Source organism: Homo sapiens, chromosome 17, assembly GCF_000001405.40.
Source record: "Homo sapiens chromosome 17, GRCh38.p14 Primary Assembly".
In the NCBI taxonomy this organism is placed as follows: domain Eukaryota; kingdom Metazoa; phylum Chordata; class Mammalia; order Primates; family Hominidae; genus Homo; species Homo sapiens.
This window is the reverse complement of record NC_000017.11, coordinates 11,198,998-11,222,876: the sequence shown is the minus strand read 5'-3', so window position 1 is coordinate 11,222,876 and position 23,879 is coordinate 11,198,998. Positions and strand designations below refer to the sequence as shown.

The 23,879-nt window shown below is 43.4% G+C and overlaps 1 annotated feature.

Annotated features, from left to right (window-relative positions):
• Window positions 22,141-23,340: an enhancer, noted in NCBI's record as "CDK7 strongly-dependent group 2 enhancer chr17:11102854-11104053 (GRCh37/hg19 assembly coordinates)". NCBI's record gives its function as "activates an origin of replication core promoter dependent on BRD2, BRD4, P300/CBP, MED14 and CDK7 cofactors, with strong dependence on CDK7, by STARR-seq in HCT116 cells {active_cell/tissue: HCT116}" and the evidence as "EXISTENCE:reporter gene assay evidence [ECO:0000049][PMID:35650434]".

Sequence of the window (23,879 nt, the reverse complement as noted above, 5' to 3'; positions counted from 1 at the left end):
AAAATGAGCAGGGAAGCAAAAATTACCAGGCAAAGCCATAAGGGAGAAGAGTGCAGAATTGAAGAAAGGAAGCCAAGCTGGGGTGGAGACGTGGACAAGGAGGATGGTGGTTCTCAGGCCCACATAAGACCAGAAAAACAGGGCCAAATAGGGAAAGCCAGAATTGAGCAGACCATGGTCATAGGCAAAAGATGGCATTTTGCCCAAAGGGGCCGTGTGCTTTGACCAGGACTTCCTGCCTTGGATGTGCTTTTGCACTTTTTTTTTTCTTTCTTTGAGACAAGTTCTTGCTCTGTCACCCAGGCTGGAGTGCAGTGGTACAATCAGCTCGCTGCAGCCTCGACCTCCTGGGCTTAAGACCCTGATCCTCCCATCTCAGCCTCCCGAGTAGCAGGACTGCAGTGGCGTGCCACCATGCCCAGCTATTTTTTTTATTTTTTGTACAGATGGGTTCTTGCTATGTTTCCCAGACTGGCCTCCAGCGGTCCTCTAGCCTCAGTCTCCCAAAGTGCTGGGATTACAGGCACAAGCCACTGCACTGGGTTGCACTTTTCATTAACAGTACCCAGGTCAAAAATGCACATTGCCAGCAGAACAGAAACCCCCTCCTTGTGTCCCTAAAACATGTGTAGTTCTCCTTGGCAATGTGGTTCTCCTCAAGGCTTTCTGTCCTGGTCTGGAAGAGCCCCAAAGGGCCCAGCAGGATGGAGAAGGGGTGTGTTTGTGTGTGTGTTGGCAGGAGGAAGCTCTGCTTTTCCAGGGAATAGGGACAATATTTTAAAAAAACATTGATGTGCTTTTTTCTTTTGTCCTTCTGTGTACATGACCTTCTCCCTAATAGACTCAAGGCATTAATATAGCTGGGGAACAGAGGGGACTGGTTTGATAAGGCAGGAATGCAAAAGGACTGTTTGGAAGGGGAGCAAAGAGAATGCTTCTGACCTCAAAATCGTGTGTGGTGTAAAGTAAACAACAGGGTGGAGAGCCAGGCCTTGTCCGGAAAGGAGTGATGTTTTACATTGTTTGGCTCCCGCTTAACACAGCCAAGGTAAGGCCAGCCGGCAAGCTCAAGGAGCTTTAAGTAAAGAAGGACTGAGTAGACAGGAACGACATTAGGAGGTCTTTCTGACCTCAGTTATTGTGGTGTGGTTGATGGCAGAGAGGAAAGTGGAAACAGAAGATGGGGAGAGAGACTAGAGACCATTAGACCTGCAGCCCTATTTCCCTTTCTAACATGTTAATATCTATCCATCTGCACACATACAATATGTACGTGTGTAATTATAACATACCAACGTGCAACATGAGGCATCCCTGCAGAGTTAGGAGGGAGAGGTCTTTGGTTGGGCAGTGTGTAGCTCACCCCCCTGAGCGGCCTTCGCATCCTGCATTGCATGGACACCATGCAAGTGCCTCAAGACCCACTGAGAGGAGGATGAGTTGAACACACAGTAGAGGTTGAGAGGTGAACAGCCTGGGCCAGGGGGCAGATGGAGGATGTAGACAAGACACAGTGGGAAGCATGGCACCAGCAAGAGGGAAGAGGAGGCCAAGCGGTGATAGACCCTTGCCCAGCCACAAAAGCAGAGACCACAGAGTTTCAGCCACAGGCATCAGCATCAACCAACCAGTGACAGGGCCATCCCTACTAAGCTGCAGTGTCCCTCATGCACACTGGAGAGGTAGCTTGAGATTGAAGCCCCACATCCTCACCCTAGAAGGTCTTGTAAGCCTCCATTTTCCAGGACACCTTTGGAGAGGGACAAGGGACAAGGGAACAAGGGGAGCATTTAAAAGACCAAGCAGTGATCTCTAAAAGTCTGCTCAAAATCTAAAGAAACCATGAATGGGGTGGACTACATTTTAAATTTTCTTGGATGAAGATATAATTCTGGCGCTTCCTTAGCAACCCTTAAGGTAGCTCAGGAGGGCGGACAGAGTCATTCTAGACAGCAAAGACAATACATTTGCTCGGCAGAGCCTGAGATGTAATATAAAGAGATTTGTGATCTCACCACACTGGCACTGAGATTGTCTTATGTAGCTTAAGAATACTCTGAGCCTGCCATGGAAGAGTGTCTTTTTCCCTTGAAATGAATGTAAGAGAAAGAGAATAAGAGGGAGAGGAAAAGAGGGAGAAGGGAGGGAAGGGAAGGAAGGAATGGTAGAGAGGGCAGGGCAGGAGGGAGGGAGCTCTGGTCTGAAGTGAGAGGGGAACAGATGCCCAAACCCCAGGAGTAGCTGTCTAATTTGACCTCCCGGGGTCATCTATAGAGTGCAGTATTTGCAGGAGTCTGTGATGTATTCCACCTTAATTTGTGGTGGCCCTGTCCTCACGTTCTGCAGGTGAGATGTCAGGCCCAGGGAAGTCAGCCTCACAGCAAGTGAGTGCAGGAGCAAGCCTACTTCCCTGTCAGTGCAGCGGTAGGCACTGCAGGGCCTCCCAGCACACAGGGCCAGGGAACAGCTGTGGGCTTCTGGGGTCAAACAGGAGTGCCTTCAGGTGCTCGGACCCTTCCCTTTATTACAAAAAGGGAAACGGTGACCAATGACCTTTTTTGTGTTTTCAGCCACCTATTACTGCAGCCTTGTGGGATACACTGGGCGTCATTCACTTCTCCCTTCAGCCATCCTCTTTTTGGAACAGGAAGCTGCTGATATCTCTGGCTCTGAGTGCCCTTCTCCTTGTGCCTTCCCCAGGACAGACATTTTGGACAGTTCAGCCTCACAGACCCTTGCCATACCAAGGCCCTGTGGTCTGGGCACCCCAGCTCTGCAGGGCAGCTCTGCCAGCAGCAGGGCCCTCAAAGTCTTCCCTTGGCATTGTAGGAGCAGGAAAGAGAGAGCATGTCCCACTTCTTAACAAGGCTCCCGCAGAGCTGCTCCTGATAATGGAGAGGAAACAAGCTTGAGATGGCTCACCAGGGGAAGCTGCTACTCTCCCAGCCTTCTTCTCAGGATTTGCCAGGTAGGCAGGATGCTTCTGCCTGAGCTAACTTGATAATCACAGGGCACGATGATGCAGAGAACTCCACTTGGAGAAACAACCCCCTTGAGAGCCTTCCCAGATCCCAGGCACGGAGAAGAAGGGACATTGAAGGTGCAGCTTCTTCCCAAGGCAAAAGCCATCTCAGACCAGTCTAGAAGCAAAATGGACACTCCTGGGCTTGGACTACAGCTCTCAGTTCTGGAGAACAGCAGGTAAGCTCAGGCATACCTCAGGCTGGCACAGCAGGCAAGCTCAGGCCGACCTCAGGCTGGGGGCTGTAGAGAGCATGAATGGTCCAAGACCATGATGATTCCATATAATATTCTCTCTTTAATCAAGACCCTTCTTTCAGTGTGTAATCAAATGCCATTTAATGTTCATGTCTCTGTAAGGCCTTTCATATCAATTAAAAATACTTTGTGTCCGATTTTTGGATCTCAAAATGTGGTCCCTGTCAGTATCCCTAGCTGCTGAAGCTGGATAGGTCACCTGGGTGTCTCCATACTTGCCACATCATATCATACATAAATAACTTTAATGGAAAATTTTGAGTGCCACAGAAAAGGAGGTTGGAAGTGACATATGAATTCAAAGGAAGGAAGGATGTCATTGGCTTGGGGAATGTCTTCTAAGTGGCAAAATGACTAGAAAAGTTATGTTGTACCAGCTTACATCACGCTGCCTAAATGCACAAAGAGGAATTCATTCACTCCAGGAGAGTAGGAGTATCCTTGAAATAAATCAAGGGGTTTTCCTCTGGATCCTTCACCTTATCAATCACTTAACTTTCCTGGTGCAAGTTTCCAGTTCCTTTGTCTGTAAAATGGGTAGAAAATTGTAGACCTGGCATTCTCTGTTCCTATTGACACTGTTCCAACAGGATATGGTAAAGGCGTACATTTCAACTGCCACGCTTGAGTAGTACATATGTCACATTTCTTGCTTTTTTTCCCTAAATTAAAAAACCTGATCAGACAGGAGGTGGAGCTCAGGCGCTAATGTGAGTGATGCGGAGCAGCTGTAAATACAGATGAAGCTTCACTCACTCGCCTGCTGCTCATCTCCTGCTGTGCGGCCCGGTTCCTAACAGGCCTCGGACCAGTACTGGTCCACGACCCTAGGATTGGGGACTCCCAGTCTAGGTGATATGCTACCATTTACATAGAAATGGGAACATGTGTATCCTCATCACTTTAAGCCAGTAAATGCTTAAAATATCACGGTAAGAATATAGAAAAGATGAATGGCATTGGTTTGCCTCTGAAAGGGGAATTTTCTTTTCCTTGGGTACAAGGTGGTAGAGAGGTTTTTTTTTTCTTTCTATGTATAATATGTCATGACTTACAGATGTTAAGCCACACACACTAATTTATATTCAAAAATAAATTACTTCAAATATATTTAAAGAAAAGAGGCACTAAAAAAATACCGTTTCCTGAATAGGAATCACCACCAGAGTTTTCCGAGGCCTCTTGCTCTTCGCTTTCTCGGCAAGGCTTTCTGAGTGACTGGCACTGCAGCCACACTGTCTCTACAGGAATAGGAGGAGTTTGAGCATTTGTGGGCAGCAGGGTATGAGGATGAGCTGGTGAAGGCGGCATCAGAGAAAGATACATTGGCCAGAGTGAAAAATTATTTTCACCTAAAGTGATACAATCAGGACACCTGGTGTCCAGTGATACTGGCTTTGCTCACCAGTCCTGTCCCCAAAATCATGTTGGCAAGGAAATAAAACAGAGATGTTTAAGTGTCCCTGCCTTGTTTTTCCCTCCTGTTTCATCTTGAATGCTGAAATGACTCCTACCTGACTTTATCTCCTTAAGTACATTCATGAGACACCTCCTGTTCCTTTCTCCTTTACCAATGGAGTGTCTAAGTAACCAGGAGGAATAGAAGAGGAGCACTTCTAAACTTACAGGAATGCTTTGTCTTTCCTGCAATCCTAGCCCAGCTCCAGCATTAACTCTGTAGCTTCTCTCTGGCTGGATGCAGGAGGTGCTGCAAGCCCAGAGACAAAATTTAGGTCCTTACCATGATATCCAGATATGGATAGCTACATTCCTAAGGTGAGCAAGAGCAATTCCAGGCCAACAGTTTACTGTTGCATATGCTCTCCATTTTCTCTCTTAGGTGTCTTCCTTTTATGCAAGACTCTGAAGCTACTTGTGCAGGAAAAGTGTGTCTCTAGTAACTTCTTCCTGAACTGTCTTCATAGAGCCTGCTATGTTTTCTGCTCTGAAGTGCAAATGAAATTCCTGAGGGTTGCACCCACTTCCAGTGTTCCTGAAAACACTAGCTGGGTAGACTCCTCCCTGAATCCCCCTCATATGTATAAATCTGTGATTCTGTTTCATTAGACTGTTTTATTCTTTCAGCAGCTATGCAGTTACTGTGGCAAAAACAGGAAGCTGCAATATTCACAGACGTATTCACAAAAGATGCAATAACATCTGGCCCTGGAGGTCAGGGGTTTCATATCCCATGGAAAATAATATGCGCATGGGTGACAGGATTAAATACACATATCATATCAGAGTTTCAGCTCATTTGTCTAATATATTTGAAAATCACTCAATTTATTGCAAACTAAGATTTACGAAGCTCAGTTTTCAGGTTGACAAATTACATTTGTCTGCACATATTTCACTATTTTGCATAATTAATTCCTCCCCATAGTACGCAAGCATTTTCTTCTACAACAAAACCACTCTATCTCTCATTCCCTTCCTGTTAGCAGCATGTAAATGGTATTGATTCAGAAGATGTATATTCTTTTCCAAAGTATCTCCTGGAACACGACTGAGATTTTCATCCCAATCATTATCAGCTGTTTATTACCCTGCTTCCAAAAACCTCATTCATAAAAGAAAATTAGAAAAGGAAAAGTTGAGTCATAGGAAACAAGTACAATGCTGATGAAATGGATTCTCCTAATTCAGATTAACTAAACGTATCAGCTAGTGCTGCAAAAAACAGAGAAGAAAGAAAGTAATTAAAACCGGGCTTAACAAGAGAAAAAATATACTGACTCATTTGCCTGAAAGATCCATAGGTAGTCTTGGCTTTAGTTTTGTTTATTTTATCAAGCAATTCAATAATGTCATCAAATACTAAGGGGTTTGTTTGTTTGTCTCCCAAGCATGCTTTTTTCAGTGTTGTCTGCCACTATGGTTGGCTGTACTCTTTATTCTAAGATGGCTTCCAGAAGCTTCGACAATAATTATACAACTCACAGTTCCAGCAAGAAAGAGACACCATCTTTGTCATCAGCAAATGTCCTAAGTGTTACTTTAATTGGATAGGCAGTCACATGCCCAAAATCGGGTCAATCACGGTGGCCAGGCAGATTGCAGTGATTTGTCATATGCTCTATCTCTAGGACTAAGATGGAATCAGCTTTCCTGGAGGAACATGCATCCCTAACCACGATTGGGAGCTCTCAGGAAGAGAGAACTGTCTGAGAAATGGGAGGATGGACAAGAAAGCTACCAAAAACATTGACTACAGTTGAGGAAGGTGAACTGGAGAAAAATCTGAATTATAGAAGACTTTCAACCTACACTTCTTTTAAAATATCCTATACTGCAGATTCTTTTTTCACATACTTGCAGTAATTCAAATTAGGCCAATGAAGTGCTGACAGGTGCTCCCTTGAATGAAAAGATTTGATTGATTGGCAATTAGCCTCTCAATTATATGTACACACACTGATCTTTTTTTTTAAGTAGGTACTTTAAAAGAGTTTGCTCTTTGAAGGCAAGTATATCGTAAAGCACATTTTGTAAAGTGCAGTTCATGTTTATGTGTTTGAAATCTTGAAATCACTGGGGTAGAAATGGGGAATGAATGGCAATGAAAGCCCTGAATTGAGCAGGAAATGGGGCAGGAAAGAGATGCACTGCTACAGCCCTTCCTTCTTCTTGGGAAAATTGAGCGGCGCAGGGAGCACAGAAGGGCTGGCTAAAAGAGTCTGTAATGGAGAATGGGCAAGTACAACAGGTCTGGATTTCCACCAGGTAAATATCTGAGATTTTCTTCACATGGCTCCATCTTTAGCAGAGGAAACATAATCTCAGGATGCATTTATATTGTTCACATGGCAAAGATTTCTCTGACTGGAAATAGCAAGAAAGAGATGGCGCTTATCAGGCATGACTGAGTCTACCTGCTACAGTGGAATTTGGATAACTTTACAATTACTGCCTAAGCAGAAATTGCAAGGATGCATTTGCTTCTCCCTATCCTATCCTGTGGCAGACATAACTAATCAATCATAACTAATCAATCAATCCCTTTCTGCTAAACCTAGAAATGACTCCACAATCTGTCTTGATAAAGTGCTCCAGGGAGCCACTACCAATTGATGAGACTTGAAAACAGAGATAAAACTTTCTGGGACAGAACACATTTTACACTTTCCCACTTTCCTTTCCTGTGATGTTTCTCCTGAGGACACAGTACATTTGGTGGTTCATTCATTCTCCAGGCTGTACTAAGACTTTTCTATGAATTCTCTTCTTCCTGAAGTAATCCTGTCTCCTCATGGCTCTCAGGGTGCCTCCTATGGGATCATTTTCTTCCAAGATTATTGTGTTAACTGTGATTGCCAGTGGTTGATTAATTTAACCTCCTTTTTGGTATCTGCCATTCATTCCTGTCTTCAGGGTTCTTGTCTCTGCTCTCCATTATGAACCAGGCTATGGATACACAATATTTCTTTTTTTTAGCCCCTCTACATCTTAAATAAATACACCCAGCTTTCCAGATTATGTAAGATTTACTTTGTTTAATGTGTGCCCATTACGGCTTAGCATTATTTCTTAGAATAAAGTCAATGTTCCCCACCTGATTCAAAATTTACTAGGGTGGAGTTCTTACTTAAAATGCTATTTGGGGGCCTCAGTCTGAAGCCAATAAATCAGAATTTCTAATCTGATTTTTAGCTGATACCCAAGGTAATTCATAAACCCCTTAAAGTTTGAAAATAACTGCTACAGGAAACAGACAGAGGATTGGGGGAAAATCGTGGTGAGCCTACCCAGACAGAAGGAGTCTTAAATGTCTTCAATAATGGTATCTCCTGAGCTGTATTGATTTTTAGGTGGAGCAATGTCTGATCCTTCTTAAGCCATCACTGACTCATATTTTGTGATCATTCTCTTCTGAAAGTCAGACCAGAACATACCTAGATTAAGAGGCAGGCCAATGGAATGTGTGTAGAGGCACCAGCCCAATAAGGCCACTAAAATATCACTGAAAATAAAACATGGTAGAGACTATTGTATTTACCAGAATGTCCTTAGGAAGAGACATGTAAGTGAGTTGGAGGGAATAATCTGATGGGTTGCTTGGGGGGCAAACGTCCACAAAATTTGTCCACATAATAATAACAACAATGTCAATCATTCTGATGATACTGTAAGGGCCAAGAGAAAATTTCCCCTTTGCCCTCTGAAGATTCACTGAAATGTCAACTCACAAAACGCAGATTAATAGGAGAAAAGGCATACAAAATGTATTAAAGTGTACATGAGAGACTTCAGAATGAAGACCCAAGCATATAGGGGAAATTGTCAGTGGTTATGCTTAGGTTCAACTTGTAGGGACAGCCATGCAGAAATATGACTGGACAAAATGAATAAGATCTAATGCTGATAGACTGAGTGGAGAAACCCAGCAGGGCCTGTCTGTCTAGATTCTACTTGGCATTCTTCCTTCTGGGTGTGGGGCAGGACCCTCTTTGGAATAGGGTCTTGTGACCTACAGTCAAACAAAATAGGCCGGGTTATTTTTTTATGGCCATGTTTTACACAGAAAGGCAGAGGGAAAGCTAAAGTAATATTTTTAGGTTTTATGGCTGGCTTTGGGGAAGAGGGATTCTAGTTTCCATTGCTAGCCTTAGAATAGGGAGAGAATGGGACTGAGACAGGAGAACAGGAGAAGGTCAGAGAAAAACTTTTACTTTTGAGGACTTCATTTTGGGGAATTGCTTTCTGAGTCCCACAATAACAATAATAGTATTAATCTACGGCCTTCTGAGGAGACTAGGTCTGGTAAATGGTAAGGCTTTGGTTTTGCTGCATGGAATGCTCAAGGCTCAGATTCAGAGCTGAATGTTCTGGATGAGAAAATAGGCTAGGCCCATGCGTGTGGCCTTCCCTCATGCTGTACCAACTGTACAATAAGCAGTGCTTATGAACAAATAGATCAGCAAATACTCCAATTATATCACAGTTTTAGGAGGCACCAAGTTTTTAACCTTCCCAGGAAACCTGGCTACTTCAATCTGACCTGTCAGAACTGCCCACTTCCTTCATTTTATATTTTCATTCTTGGAAATTTGTCTACTGGGACCCCACCCCTTCTTCTCAAACTCAGCCCCATAGACCTTAGAGACCACAGGATTCATGCATTAAAAATAGAAACAGAAGCCAATTAAACCTCTAATATGTTAAATAAGAGTTATTTGCATCTCTGAAGAAACTTCTGACAAGCATGACAAGCGATTACAGCTAATGCAATTCTTGCTTCACATAGAAAGTCATCTCAGGCTATTCCTTGGTACTTTGTCTCTCTCCTGCCCAGGGCCTTTGAACCTGGGCATACAACCCAAAGTGGGCACTTGCCCGATCTCTCTCCTTCTAAAGATGTATTTCATCTCCTCTTCCTATTCAGGCAAAAGATTGGATAATAGTTTGGTGCTCCCCTCCCCTCAACAGGAGGACCTGAATTATAAAATACAAACTCTTCACATTTGCAGAAAGATTGGGGGCTTGCCTGTAAAACTTTCATACTGGGCATAAAATCCTGTGTCATTTTCTCCCTCTCTGATGCTGCTCTTTATGCTGCTCAAGGCCAGCATTGGGCAACATCGGGAGAACTTAACACTCTCCCTCGGGAATATTCATTTAAGTGCCTTTCTGCATGAGGTAATGATTTTCATGGGACATTAGCATGTGACATACTCTTCACTTGCCCAATACTCCTAAACTGTCTAAAATACAGGAATAGCCCTTCTAACACAGTGTTCTATTTAGGAATTTAATAGGTCTCTGGTTCAAGATGGCAGCCTGAGCACAGAATTTGACTTCCATTTTCTCCCAAGTTTATATTAAAATTACACACACACAAACACACACCCTGTAACAGAGCAAAGGGAAAAAAATAGATACTATTACTAACTATTGAATTTGGAGGACTGCATGAAGGACACAGTGTAGACTTTATTTGATTGCCAGAGAAAAAGTAGAAAAATCACAGTTCAAGGTACTAGAGTTAAGCATCCGTCCTGTCAAAGGAGACAAGAGACTATCCAAGTTAGAGTCCCCAAATGCAAGAATGGACCGAGAGATCATCTTCAAGATATTTATTGAGGAATTGCATTTGAAAGGCCGTATCAGTGGGCCCTTGTCCCTTAAACAGAGTTTCTGAGAGCTACAAGTTTTATCCTTGGGCTGCAGCTTTAGAACTACTTTATAGAGAGAGTGATTGATCTGTTGCTACAAAAAATAAAAAACAAAAACAACCAAACAAACAAAAACAGATGATCTATTATTGTTGCTTTGTAGCAAACCACTCTAAAGTGAAACAGTTGAAAATGATTTCCTATCTCTCACCTTTCCGTGGCTTGACTGGTTCAGACTTTTTGTTCTCTCTCTCATGTGGGTTCAGGTACATGGGGCTGGGGCTGGTGGAGCCATCTGAATCTCTCTTCATTCATACCTCTGGTGCCTATGGTGCAAGCCGTCCAAGTGGCTAGGATATCCAAAGTCTACTCAGATGTCCATCTCTTCATACAGCCTTTCCATGTGGCTGCTTGGGCTTCCTTGCAGTATGGTGCTCTCAGGGTAGTTGGACTTTTTACATAATGACTGACTTTTCCCAGAGCAAGTGTTCCAAGAGACAGGAAGTGAGAGCTGGCCCAGGATCAGAACTGATAATGTCTCTTCAGCTGTACTCTCTGGATCAAACCAGTCATATAGCCCCCATAGACTCAAAGAAAGGGGGATCAAACTCCACCTTCTAATGGGAGAAGTAAACGAGTGATGTACATAGTCTTTAATCTACCCTATGTGAACTCCTGGTGATGGTTTTGGGGAATGCAAGAGAAACAGAGAGAACCAAAGCACCAGGTGCTCCACTCACAGGGGGCTTTGCATTGGCAATTATGCGGCTCCCTAGCCTGTTTCTTTGTTTCTGGACTCCAGGCATTACAAGGGAGCCTGCCTGTCACCCTGTTTGATGACTGAGAGCTCATATTTAGACTTTCTATTTAAGGAAGAGGCCTATTGTAAAAGAGACACACAACTGCTGAGGAAATGCACATCTATAATCTGCACATATCAAAGTAACTCTTCATTAAAAACCAAAAAGAAACCAATAGCAGCATGAAGCAGGGGAATAAAAGAATCTTTGGGGAGAAGATGAGAACTGTTTAAAATTATTCTGATTTCTGCCTATAGGCTTCAGAAGATACTGTTACCACAAATTAAGAGCAGTCTCTTTTGAAAATATATTAATCAGATTTTTAAAAATCATTTTTGAATTTAAGCTTTTCCTGCAATAATAAAGATTTCACTTTATACATTAAATAATAATATGGACAGAGATGAAGATCAAGTTGATGATCTGGAAGATAAGGTCAAGGAAATCTCTCAGAACTTGGGGCAAAAAGATAAGTGAAATGTAATAGAGAAAAGTTAAAAGTGGCAAATCTAGGAGGCCTAACAGCAACTAATAGATTTTCTAGGAGAGAACAGAGGCATAAAAAGGTAAAAATATTATAGAAATGTAGAAATTGAAGATAAAATAAAATCCCCTGAGTGGATAATAGACATACCTCTTAAAATTGAATGTCTAGTGAGTATGGAGAATGATGAATGGGAAAATCGCTCATGTATAGACCCATCCTGCTGAAGTTTCCTAACTTAAAGGATAAAGTGAATGTTCTTAAAGCTTCTGGAGAGAAAAAGAGAGGTCACTCACAGGGAAGATAAGCATACTGACATCCACTTCTGGTCAGCAATACTGGGTTTTAGGCAGAGGAACAATATATTCAAACTTCCAAGGAAAACTATTTTGAATATAGAATTCTATACCTAGCCAAGCTATCAAAAAAATACAGGGGCCAAAAATAAATGAAAGAAAGAGGAAATAAAATGAAAGAAGGAAAGAAAGAGAGAGAGAAAGAAAGAGAGAAAGAGAGAAAGAAAGAGAAAGAAAGAAAGAGAGAGAAAGAAAAGAAAAGGCAAGCAAAGATGTAGCAAGTATATCACCTGTATTTCCTATATATTGAAGGAACCACTTACCAAACTCCTCCCACAGAATGAAGAACAACTGCAGGAGGAAGGCTGGCATGAAACACACAGACTTGAGGCATTGAATGTAATTCAGAAGTAGAGGAAGCAAGCAAAACATCAAAAGAGAAAATCTTGGACTGGAGTGCTTGAAAACTAAAAAAAAAAATCATACACGTGATTACTTAAATTTGTAAAAGTTTACGACGACAAAAAGAAGATTGAAATATAAGTAGCAAAAAAGAAAAAACCATATTTGTGTCATGTACAACAAAGAACTAATGTTCTTCTCATATAAAATGTTTTGATAAGACAATTTGAAAAACAGAAATAGAAAAATGGGCAAATATCCTGAATGTGCAAGTCACAAAGGCAAGGAAGAAATTAATGCAGATGAACGGTGACATTCCCTTACACTTCCCATAGGCTGGTCCTCCCTGTAAATTCAGCCTGGGCAGAAAGGTTCAACCTTCCAGGGCTCATGTGGGCGTATGGATCAGCCAAACTGCCTTGGCTTTGCAAAGGAGGCCATGGGGGCAGTGGAGGGACCATGTGTAGGGAGAGGGGACATTTTTCAACAGCTGCAACATGTGTGAAACTTGGAAAGAGAAAGCTTCCCAAAGGGAATTTGGGAGAATTTTTAGGAAGTTTGATTCTGCTTAAGTGTGTGTGGTGTGTTTAATAATTGTCACATTTATTCCTTACCTCCCAGTGACATTATTATAATGACCTCCTGGAATTCAGTTAGCTTGGCAATCAGAGCTTGGCGGGTTCTCAACATCCATCAGCTTTGTTCTTCCTATAAGTGTTTTTAAGCACACTCTGTTGAATCTTTTTCCCGTCCCCTTGGCCACAACTTGAGCGAATTGCACAAATTTCTGGTTGCTTTTCTTTATGAAAAGTCCAATCTGGTGTAAGGCTTTAATCAAACATCCTATTTTAAATTCTTTGTCTCCACCATCATCAGCTTTGGGGCCCTATAACTGTCTAGTGGAAAGGAGACCTGTGCTTTCTTTCACTCCTTCCCTGCAGTGTGGGATGGGACCATGGTCTCATTCCGGATTCTCCTCCTCACCATGTTTCCAAGTTTGTTCCTCTATGAGGGCAGAGACGAGGGAGAGGGTCCTAGGAGATGTCCTTATCTAATCATCAGATTTCTGTAGCATCCTAGTCTCGTGGGGTCCATCTCATTCTGAGAGGTGAAGCCAGCTGGACTTCCTGGGTCGAGTGGGGACTTGAAGAGCTTTTCTGTAGCTAGCTAGAGGTTTGTAAAATGCACCAATCAGTGCTCTGTAAAAACGCACCAATCAGCACTCTGTAGCTAGCTAGAGGTTTGTAAAATTCACCAATCAGTGTTCTGTAAAAACGCATCAATCAGCGCTCTGTAGCTAGCTAGAGGTTTGTAAAATTCACCAATCAGTGTTCTGTAAAAACACATCAATCGGGGCTCTGTAGCTAGCTAGAGGTTTGTAAAATGGACCAATCAGCACACTGTAAAATGGACCAATCAGCACTCTGTAAAATGGACCAATCAGCAGGACATGGGCAGGGACAAATAAGGGAATAAAAGCTGGCCACCCCAGCCAGCAGCGGTAACACGTTTGGGTCCTCTTGCATGGTGTGGAAGCTTTGTTCTTTCGTTCTTCACAATAAATCTTGCTGCCACACACTCTTTGGGTCTGTGCCACCTTTAAGAGCTGTAATGCTCACCCCAAAGGTCCGCTGCCCCATTCTTGAAGTCAGTGAGACCACGAACCCACCAGAAGGAACCAACTCCAGACACAATTTTATCTGTTTCTATTTGGTCTCCAGAAATGTGGTGGCACCTGTGGAGATGTGAGCAAGGCCTTCCTGGGATAATGTGCAAGTTCACTACAGCCTCTTTTGTCACTAACATCCTGTTTGTTTCCCTTTGGACCTGTCGGTGGTCCATACCGTCAACCCTTCCTGAAGGGTATGGCTGTGCATGCCTGGCTCAGTCCCGAGCATATCCTCAGCATCTGCCTACTCTTCTAACTTAGATGATCCTCTACAGGATCGATAGGGTTTGGCTGTGTCCTCACTCAAATCTCATCTTGAGTTGTAGCTTCCATAATTCCCACATGTCCTGGGAGGGATCTGGTGGGAGGTAATTGAATCATGGGGGCGGGTCTTTTCCAAGCTGTTCTCATGATTGTGAATGAGTCTCACAAGATCTGCTGGTTTTATAAATGGGAGTTCCCCTGCACACACTCTCTTGCCTGCCATCATGTAAGATGTGACTTTGCTCCTCATTCACCTTCCGCTATGATTGTGAGGCCTCCCCAGCCATGTGGAACTGTGAGTCAACTAAACCTATTTCCTTTATAAATTACCCAGTCTCAGGTATGTCTTTATTAGTAGCATTAGAACAGATGAATACAGGGATGACTGGGGATGATTAGGTTCCTCCTCGAACTTTCAGAAAGCCTTGGAGACCCGGAATGCAGGTCTTTCATCCTCTGTTGGGCACTCTCTCCCAACCTGATGAGGGCTTCTCCTGCAAGTTTTGTCCCCTCAGACCTCACCAAAGGAAAAGCTATCTGTCACTGTGCCCTTATCATTCCCAAGGACATGGTCAGATCCTCCCAAGAAGCATCACTTGGTGCCTTGCTCTGAGGGCAGTTCGGAGTGGCCTGCACCTGAGCATCCAGCCCCAGGCTAGTCTCCCCCTCTAGTAGGCAGGAACTCTCTCCTAGTGATGCTCTTGGAATCCCCTTCTCAGCCTCTCACTTGTTTTGTTTGTTTGTTTGTTTGAAGGGTTGGGGAATAAGGTCTCTGTCCCTCTGAAAAAGAGGAGTAAAACTCGCCACAAACACTATACTTGAAAACTCTGGGCCGGGGGCGGTGGCTCACGCCTGTAATCCCAGCACTTTGGGAGGCTGAAGCAGGTGGATCACGAGGTCAGGAGATCACGACCATCCTGGCTAACATGGTAAAACCCCGTCTCTACTAAAAATACAAAAAATTATCTGGGCCTAGTGGTGGGCGCCTGTAGTCCCAGCTACTAGGGAGGCTGAGGCAGGAGAAAGGCGTGAACCCAGGAGGCGGAGCTTGCAGTGAGCCGAGATTGCGCCACTATACTCCAGCCTGGGAGACAGAGCGAGACTCCGTCTCAAAAGAAAAAAAAAACCTCTGAAGATTTTCCCACCCGTCACTTCTTTGCTACACTGCATGCTCATGGACTTCAGTAGAGGAGGGAGCTTTCCAGCTTCCATCTTTGCCTGACAAATCTCCAAACCAAAGGACCTAACTCAGCTCCCAGGCTGTGCCTCACTTCCTAATCCCACCTTGTAGCCCCCAAGCTGAATTTGTGGGGGCTTTCTAAGGCAGGCTGTGGTGCTGTCAACGAGAAAAGCCATATCCACATCCAAAATGTCAGAATACTTTCTTCACTATGGCCATTGATATATCAAAAATGGTTATTCCAGTTTTCTGCCTCTCTTTACATTTGAAAAGACAAGAGTATTTATTAACATATAACTTGATGTAAAAACATAAATAGAAATCATAACAAAAGTCTAACCTTTAAAGGATTCAAATTTAAAATCTCCGAGAAAGCCAGTGATTATTTTATTGATATGGTTTCTCTACCAACTCTCAAAATCTGCAGGTGTTAAATTAGCTGCACAAGAATTTCTCTCTGCTTCCGAGTCTGCAGTAGAAACATGCTAATGAGAATTAGAGGAAATTAATGAGAGAGGGTCTAGGAGGCCAGGAGAGAAGTTCAGCACAGCTTCCTGTGTGGTAAATTTTCAGAAAACCTGCTTTAATTTACCATGACCGAAGAGCTTCTAAGTTAAAAGAAAAAAAAAGAAAGAAAAAAAGAAAAACAAAAAAATATGCAAATCTACACCCTTAATCATTTCATTCTTCTAACACGGGTCTAAAAATGCTAAAGGTAACATCAATGTCAAAGAAGCTATTGCCAGAAAAACAAACAGACAAAACCCAGAAGCCAAAACAAAACAAACCCACAAAAAAGAGCAACAGTAAAGTACCCCCACACTTGAGTCCCCAAGACTAAGCAACAGTAAGAGTGATACTGATGCTGACGGTGATCCAATTATTATATACACTCTGACTTCAGCATGAAAGATGGTCCTAATTGTAGGTCTTTAGCAAGCAAAAGTCTCATTCTGCAGATAAATGAACCGAGGCACAGAGCAAAAAAGATGGAGCCAAGACAATTCCTAAGGTTTGTTACAACGTTGGGGCTTGAATGCAAGTCTAGACGCCAAATCTGCTAAGCCATATTAATGGTGACACACACATTGCCAAGCATGTTCATGTTAACACTGATTCTGGGTCCAGCGATGTTAATGACCAAGAGGTTCATGAATATGTTAATGCTGATCGTATTAGAGTAGGTAGATAGGCAGATATGAGCAGGTCAGGGTAGGACCCCAAAGAATGTTAGGTGACTGTCGGGCTGCTGGAAACAGAGAGGTGAAAATTTCCTAACAACCAGGAAACAGCTTGAGTTTGTGGGGAACAATGTACCTATAAGAACTTAAAAATTGAGTAGAGGTGTCTAGGCATGCTGGTAAGGGGCAAAATGGCAGAGTCTGGGCAGCATATGATCTTCATCTGGGGGCGCTAGAACTGATAAGGGAAAATTGCCATAAGAGAGCATGCACATAGCTCCAACCACCAAAGGGCACGTGCAGCCCCTCCCAGATACTGACAAGTCACTGCACATGTGGTGATTAGCCAACAGCCTGCCCAAGGCGAAGGATGAGGGAAAGAGACTGGGAAAGAAAACAGGAAATAGTAAATCTGTAAGAGCGCTGAACCAAAGATTAGGGGGCGCACTCAGTCTTTTGAGTAGCCTGCTTGGTCCCTTCAAGTGTACTTTTCTGTGCTTCAATAAGCTCTCGTTTCTGCCTTAAATCTACTTTTGTCTCTTGGTCAAATAATTTCTTCCAAAAAGACAAGGGCAAAGGACCAAGGACCCCAACCGGACGCACTGCCAGTAACAATCTGAAGTCCAACACTGAAGCCTTTACTAGTATTCCACTAAATTCGGTCTGGTGAATATTTATTGAACACCTGCTATGCTAGACACTGTTTCTGACCTCCAAGAATTCATGGTTGAGCAAGGAAAACAAATGACCAATATGCAAACAAATAAATATAAGCCAACGTGACAAACACGGAACAAAGTGTTATGCCAACAGAGATGAAGGAGGAATTAAGCCTAGCTTAGGCATAGGAGGTGGGGGAAGCGTTCAGGAAAGAGTAGAGAAAAGTGGCTGGGCTTTTTTTTTTTTTTTTTTTTTTTTAGAGGTGAGTGCCAATTTGAACTAGCTCTTCAAAGAAAAAATAATGAGAAGAGTAGGGAAGCATGAACAAAACTAGAGTCCTGAAAGTGCACAGCGAGTCTGGGGAATGGTGGGTGCACGTGAGTTACAGAGAGGCTGGAAACATCATCTGGAGCTTAGCTGGGTTTATATAACCTTCTGTGCCATGAGAAAGATTTTGTTCTTCCTCCTGAACTGATGGAGGGAATAGAGGATTTTTAGAATGGGTGACATTGGATACAATTTCTATTTTATAAAATGATGCTGCTGGTATTTCAGAAAGTGGATGGAAGGATAGTGAGCCTGAAGGCAGAAAGATTGACTAAACAGCAATAGGAGAAAGAAACAAATATAACAATGAAATAATAGGAGAGAGAAACAAATGCTTGACCAAAGCCAAGCTGGCGGGGACAGAGGACAGCCAGGTTATGAGTGAGATGTCATGGGTAGAATTGACAGGTATTTGTGCTGATTGCATGTGAGAGCTGAGCAGCTTGTACTTTTGGCCAGAGCATTGCTGCTGGCTATCCACAGTGATGATGGAGCTAGGCTGAAGCTCCTCATTCCTCTCCACATTCCAGTCTTTGATTTCTAGGCTGGTTCTTGACAGCATAACTCATTTCTCCTTCTGCTTTCCTATAGGCCCTGGACTATTGTATCATGGATCCTCATTCTTCAGGTCTTGTTAAAGGTTGAACTGGGTCCCCACCAAAATTCTTAGGTTGAACCCTAATCCCCAGTACCTCAGAATGTTATTTTATTTGAAAAACATAGCCTTTACAGAGATAGCCGAGCTAAAATGAGATCATTAGAGTGGACCCTAATCCTATATAAAAAGGAGAAATTGGGAAATAGATACCCATACAGGAAAAACTCATGTGAAAATGAAGGCAGGGGTCAGCATGATGCCTCTTCAAGCCAAAGAATGCCAGAGTTTGCTAGAAACCACAGAAGCTGAGTAAGAGGCATGGGACATATTCTCCCTCATAGCCTCAGAAGAAATCAACCCTGCCAACACTGTGATCTTGGATTTTTTTTTTTTGAGATGGAGTCTCCCTTTTGTCCCCCAGGCTAGAGTGCAGTGGTGCGATCTCAGTTCACTGCAACCTCCGCCTCTTAGGTTCAAGTGATTCTCCTGCCTCAGCCTCCCAAGTAGCTGGGAGGGATTACAGGTGCGAGCCACCACACCTGGCTAATTTTTGTATTTTTAGTAGAGACGGGGTTTCACCATGCTGGCCAGGCTTCAAGAAGCTCTCATTTCTGCTTTAAATCTACTTTGTCTCTTGGCCAAATTATTTCTTCCAAGAAGACAAAGACCAAGGACCAAGCACCCCAACCAGACGCACTGCCAGTAACAATCTGAAGTCCAACACTGAAGCTTTTACTAGTATTCCACTAAATTCAGTCTGGTGAATATTTATTGAACACACACTGTGCTAGACAGTGTTGCTGACCTCTAAGATTTCATGATTTAGCAAGGAAAACATGGTTTAGCAAGGCTTGTCTCGAACTCCTTACCTCAGGTGATCCACCCGCCTTGGCCTCCCAAAGTACTGGGATTATAGGCATAAGCCACCATGCCCAGCCTTGATCTTGGATTTCTGGCCTGCAGAACTGGGAGATGACACATTTGTGTTGTTTAAGCAGGCCAGTGGGTGGCACTTTGTTTCTACAGCCCTACTAAAGTAATACAGGTCTCAGCTCAAACAACTTTTGTGACCACACAATCTAAAGTAGTGCCTCCCCACCACATCACCTTGTTTTATTGTCTTCATAGTCGTTAACCTTACCTTATCATGTTAATGTGTTTATTTAGTTGTTTTGTCTGCCCTTCTCTGTCTCCTACCCAGCCACACACTGTCATGCTACACTTAGAATGTGTGCTCCAGGACTCTGAGGAATTTTCCATGATTTTTGCTATATCCACAGATTTTAGAACAACCTGGCAATAGTGGGCAATCAGTACCTATTTTATTGAATGAATGAAAACATAAGTGATTATCATTCTTGACACTAGGACGAACTCTAGCGTGAATTCCAACTAAAGTGTTATTGTTTGTCCTCATCAGCTAGGGTTGAGTTTGAGAGGCTTATCCTCTAGTGTGGAATCACCTGAAGGCTCCTTCCCTCAATGTCTGGGCTGGGATGACTTGAAGAGTAATGCGTGTCCACCAGAACACCTGGATAAGTCTCTCCATGTGGCCCAGCTGCCACACTGCAGAGCAGCTGCTGCTTAGTTGGACTTAGGTGCTGGTTTGGGACTCCAAGTAGGTGGGCTCCAGAGAACAAGGTGGAAGTAACATTACTTTTCATGACCCAGCTTTGGAAGTCATATGTTACTTCTACCATACTGTGTTGATCGAAGCAGCCATAACCCCATCGGCATTCAAGGAGTGACAGACACAGACCTACTTCTTGATGGTATAGTGGCAAGATCGTACTGCAGGGAGGATCTGGGATGAGAGATATTTTGTTGCAGCTATCTTTAGAAAATAGAGTTTCCATGGGTTCTTATTCAAAACCTGAGTTTTGGGTCTCTCTTCAAAAGATTCTGATTCCTGGGTCTCAGTTCAAACTTAGAGGACCTTTTGGGGGTCCTGAGAATACAATCTTTATAACAAGCACTTTAGGCATTTCTGATACTGAGATGCACAACCCCATTGTCTGAGAACTCCACTCTGGGGCCAGTTTAATGTCTCCTGGCAGCTGCCATTCTGCAATTTAAGTGCACAAGCCAGTTTTCTACTGCACTCTCCCCATGATGAGAAAACACTGAGATATAATAAGCCAAAATGATAGGGCTCCTAAATCTATAAAAACAAGCTATTAATATAACAATATATAGAGATAAAATGACTATATTTACATATAAAATTTTTAAATAGTATTGGAGAAATATTACAGAATAAAAAATCCTAGCCGAATTTTACGCTTCTATGAATGCAATAGTTCTCCATTTCTGCCTAATGACACTGCTAGTATTCACCTAGTCCTAAATTATGAATTCACTGTAACTCCTTTCCCAAAGTCAGACTTTCTCAGGCTATACTTGTGCTATCCGTAATCACTAGGTATGCTTTAAAAATGCCTCCAGTTGGCCGGGTGCGGTGGCTCATGCCTGTAATCCCAGCACTTTGGGAGGCCGAGGCGGGCGGATCACAAGGACAGGAGATCGAGACCATCCTGGCTAACACGATGAAACTCCGTCTCTGGTAAAAATACAAAAAATTAGCTGGGCGTGGTGGCAGGTGCCTGTAGTCCCAGCCACTCGGGAGGCTGAGGCAGGAGAATGGCATGAACCCGGGAGGCGGAGCTTGCGGTGAGCCGAGATCACGCCACTGCACTCCAGCCTGGGCGACAGAGCAAGACTCTGTCTCAAAAAAAAAAAAAAAAAAAAAAAAAATTCCTCCAGTTGGCATTTTTAAGAGATAGCCATCCCGCCTCTCCCCTTAGCTTTTGGGTAACACTGGTTTTTCTTGCTCATTGTTCTCTGATCCGTATTCACCCTCTTCCTTTCAGATAATGTCAAGACACCACAAACTGATATGATCTTATCATTACAGTTCCTAGGATTATCTTATTCTGTATTCGGGTTTTCTTTCAACATTTTTACAAACCAATCTCAAATCACTTGCAGGCCTTTGTGAGAAATTACAATAGCTTTCATCACTTAAACAAAAATTAAAGCCTGTCACTTCCCTGAAAAGATTTGAACCTAATTTATTTCCAGAAATTGTCCTTGAACTTATTCCTTCTACCTCTCATTCTCAATCCTGTAAACATAACCTAAATATAGCAAAGAAGTCCTTAAGTGAAGGCTTAGAGCGGTTTTCTTGCAGTTTGCTAGGGGCAGAGCATTCTGGGCTGTGCACAAGCAACTAAAGAAATTGCTTGTTCATTTTGGAAGGCCAAGGCAGGTGGGTCATTTGAGGTCAAGAGTTCAAGACCAGCGTGGCAAACACGGTGAAACCCCATTTCTACTAAAAATACAAAAAAATTAGTCAAGTGTTGTGGCGCGCACCTGTAATCCCAGCTACTCATGAGGCTGAGGCAGGAGAATTGCTTGAACCTGGAGGCGGAGGTTGCAGTGAGCCGAGGCCATTGCACTCCAGCATGAGGGACAGAGCAAGACTCCGTCTCAAAAGAAAAAAAAAAAGATAAGACCAGAGATCAGTACACCCCATAGGGGTCAGGCAAGGCAGAAGCTGAGCTAATGGCTGTTAGGAGAATGATAGTAAAACGAGGTAGCCAGGAACATCACAGGTGGCTCTTCCATGAATCAGAAGATTTTTAAGCCCAAGGCCTCGCCATTCTTAAGGAAGTACCTGGGAATCTCCTTGGATGATACAGAGTGACAATTATGCTGATACTAGTGGTGCCCACAGCCAGGGATGCTCAGAGTGGTGTGGGTGATGATGCTGGGGACCCTGTCTCTGGAGGGCAACCGCGACCTGGTGCTCAATTGAGCTGCCCTGGGCTCCTGGACACCAGCTGGCCAGACTCGCAGGGCAGGTGCTTCCTCTTTCTTTCCGTGGGCTCCCCAAAGTAAAGGTCATAGCAAAAGAAAGGAGGTATGAGCTCACAAGGGAGGGATCCCCCTGGGTTCCAGAGATTGGAGCATCAAGAGAGAGCATTCCTGAATCATCGCAGGATGCTGCCCTTTATGAAGTTAATTAGGACTTCGGTTGTTTATGATAATGATTGTAATCATGACTACTTTCGAAATTACTTATGGCTCTGCGAGGAATACTTTCTGCAAATCTGTGTTGTTTTCCTTTTTTATTGTTGCAGCCTTTCTCATCTTTCCTCCCCCTCCTTTTCTAACAAAGTCTCACCCACCTGCTATCCACCGTCTCTTCTTCCATTTCCTCCTTTTCTTCACCCTTTCTCATTTAGAATACTTGAGTCATAGAAAGAGTTGGAAGCCAACTCAAGACCACCTCATCCGACCTCTCCCTTTTACACCTGCATAAACTGCATCTGGAAAGAGGAAGTGACAAGTTATAGTCACACAGTCGGCTTGTGACAGATCTGAGACAAATACCCAGGACTCCTGGGGCCATCTGATATTCTATTTGTTGCTTCCAACAGCTGCATCTTCCACATTTTTTTTTCATTGCCTGGATTTCTCCATCCTCTTTCTGACTCCAAGAAAGATGAATAGGCTCCCTAGAGCTCCCCAAACGAGAAAAGCTAAGTGTTTGTGGTGTGAAGAGCTTGCAAGTGGCAAGAACTGCAGTCCAGAAACTGCCATCTGAAGCCCTTGTGGACTCCGTGCCCAAACTTGTCCCAACAGAGACCCATACCTCCCTTTCCCTCTAGCATGGAGAAGCGGAGGGGTCATTCTGACTTGCAAAGTGAAAATTGGTTGTTTGGTGTTGGCTCACGCCAGGAGCCACTGAATCCCAACTCTAAGTTACTGACATTATTGCAAATATCAACTTTTCTGCTGCAAATGAAGCTGCAAATGAAACACTGGTTTCCAGCTGGGTGCCTCCAACTGTGTGTGAATTGTTTGCAGGCATGCACACTGCAATGTTGGCCCTTTCCTAATCATTTATTTTTCTTGTCTTTGCATAGGTCATGGTTGATGCCTGGGAGCCTCCTGGAACTCACCCCTACAGACCAAAGTCACAGAAATCTCAGCTTCTGCTGTTTCTTCCCTGTGTGGGGCGTCTATTGTGATGATAGAATCCTAAAATGCTTGAACTGAAAGGAACCCCGGGGATCACCACTCGCCCTATTTCTTCGTGTTATAGATGATGAAACTGACGCCCAGATAAATTAGAGTCCAGCAAAAGTTAGTGACAAAATTACGAAGCAACCTAGCTTAGAATGCAGGCAGAAGATGGGAAGGAGGAGGTGGTATTTTTTGAACTCCTACTGTGTGCCAGGCTTAAAACTTGCAATCCCATTTAATTTTCAACTGAGGGCTTTTCAAAGCAAGGGCAGTGATGGTACAGGAAAGGGGTCCCGATCCAGACATCAAAAGAGGGTTCTTGGATCTCATGCAAGAAAGAATTCAGGATGAGTCCATAGAGTAAAGTGAAAGCAAGTTTATTAGGAAAGTGAAAGAATAAAAGAATGGGACTACTCCATAGACAGAGCAGCCCCAAGGGCTGCTGGTTGCTCATTTTTATGTTTTTTTTTTTTTGATGGTATGCTAAACAAGAGGTGGACTATTCATGCCTCCCCTTTTTAGACCATATAGGGTAACTTCCTGACCTTACCATGGCATTTGTAAACTGTCATCGTGCTGGTGGAAGTGTAGCA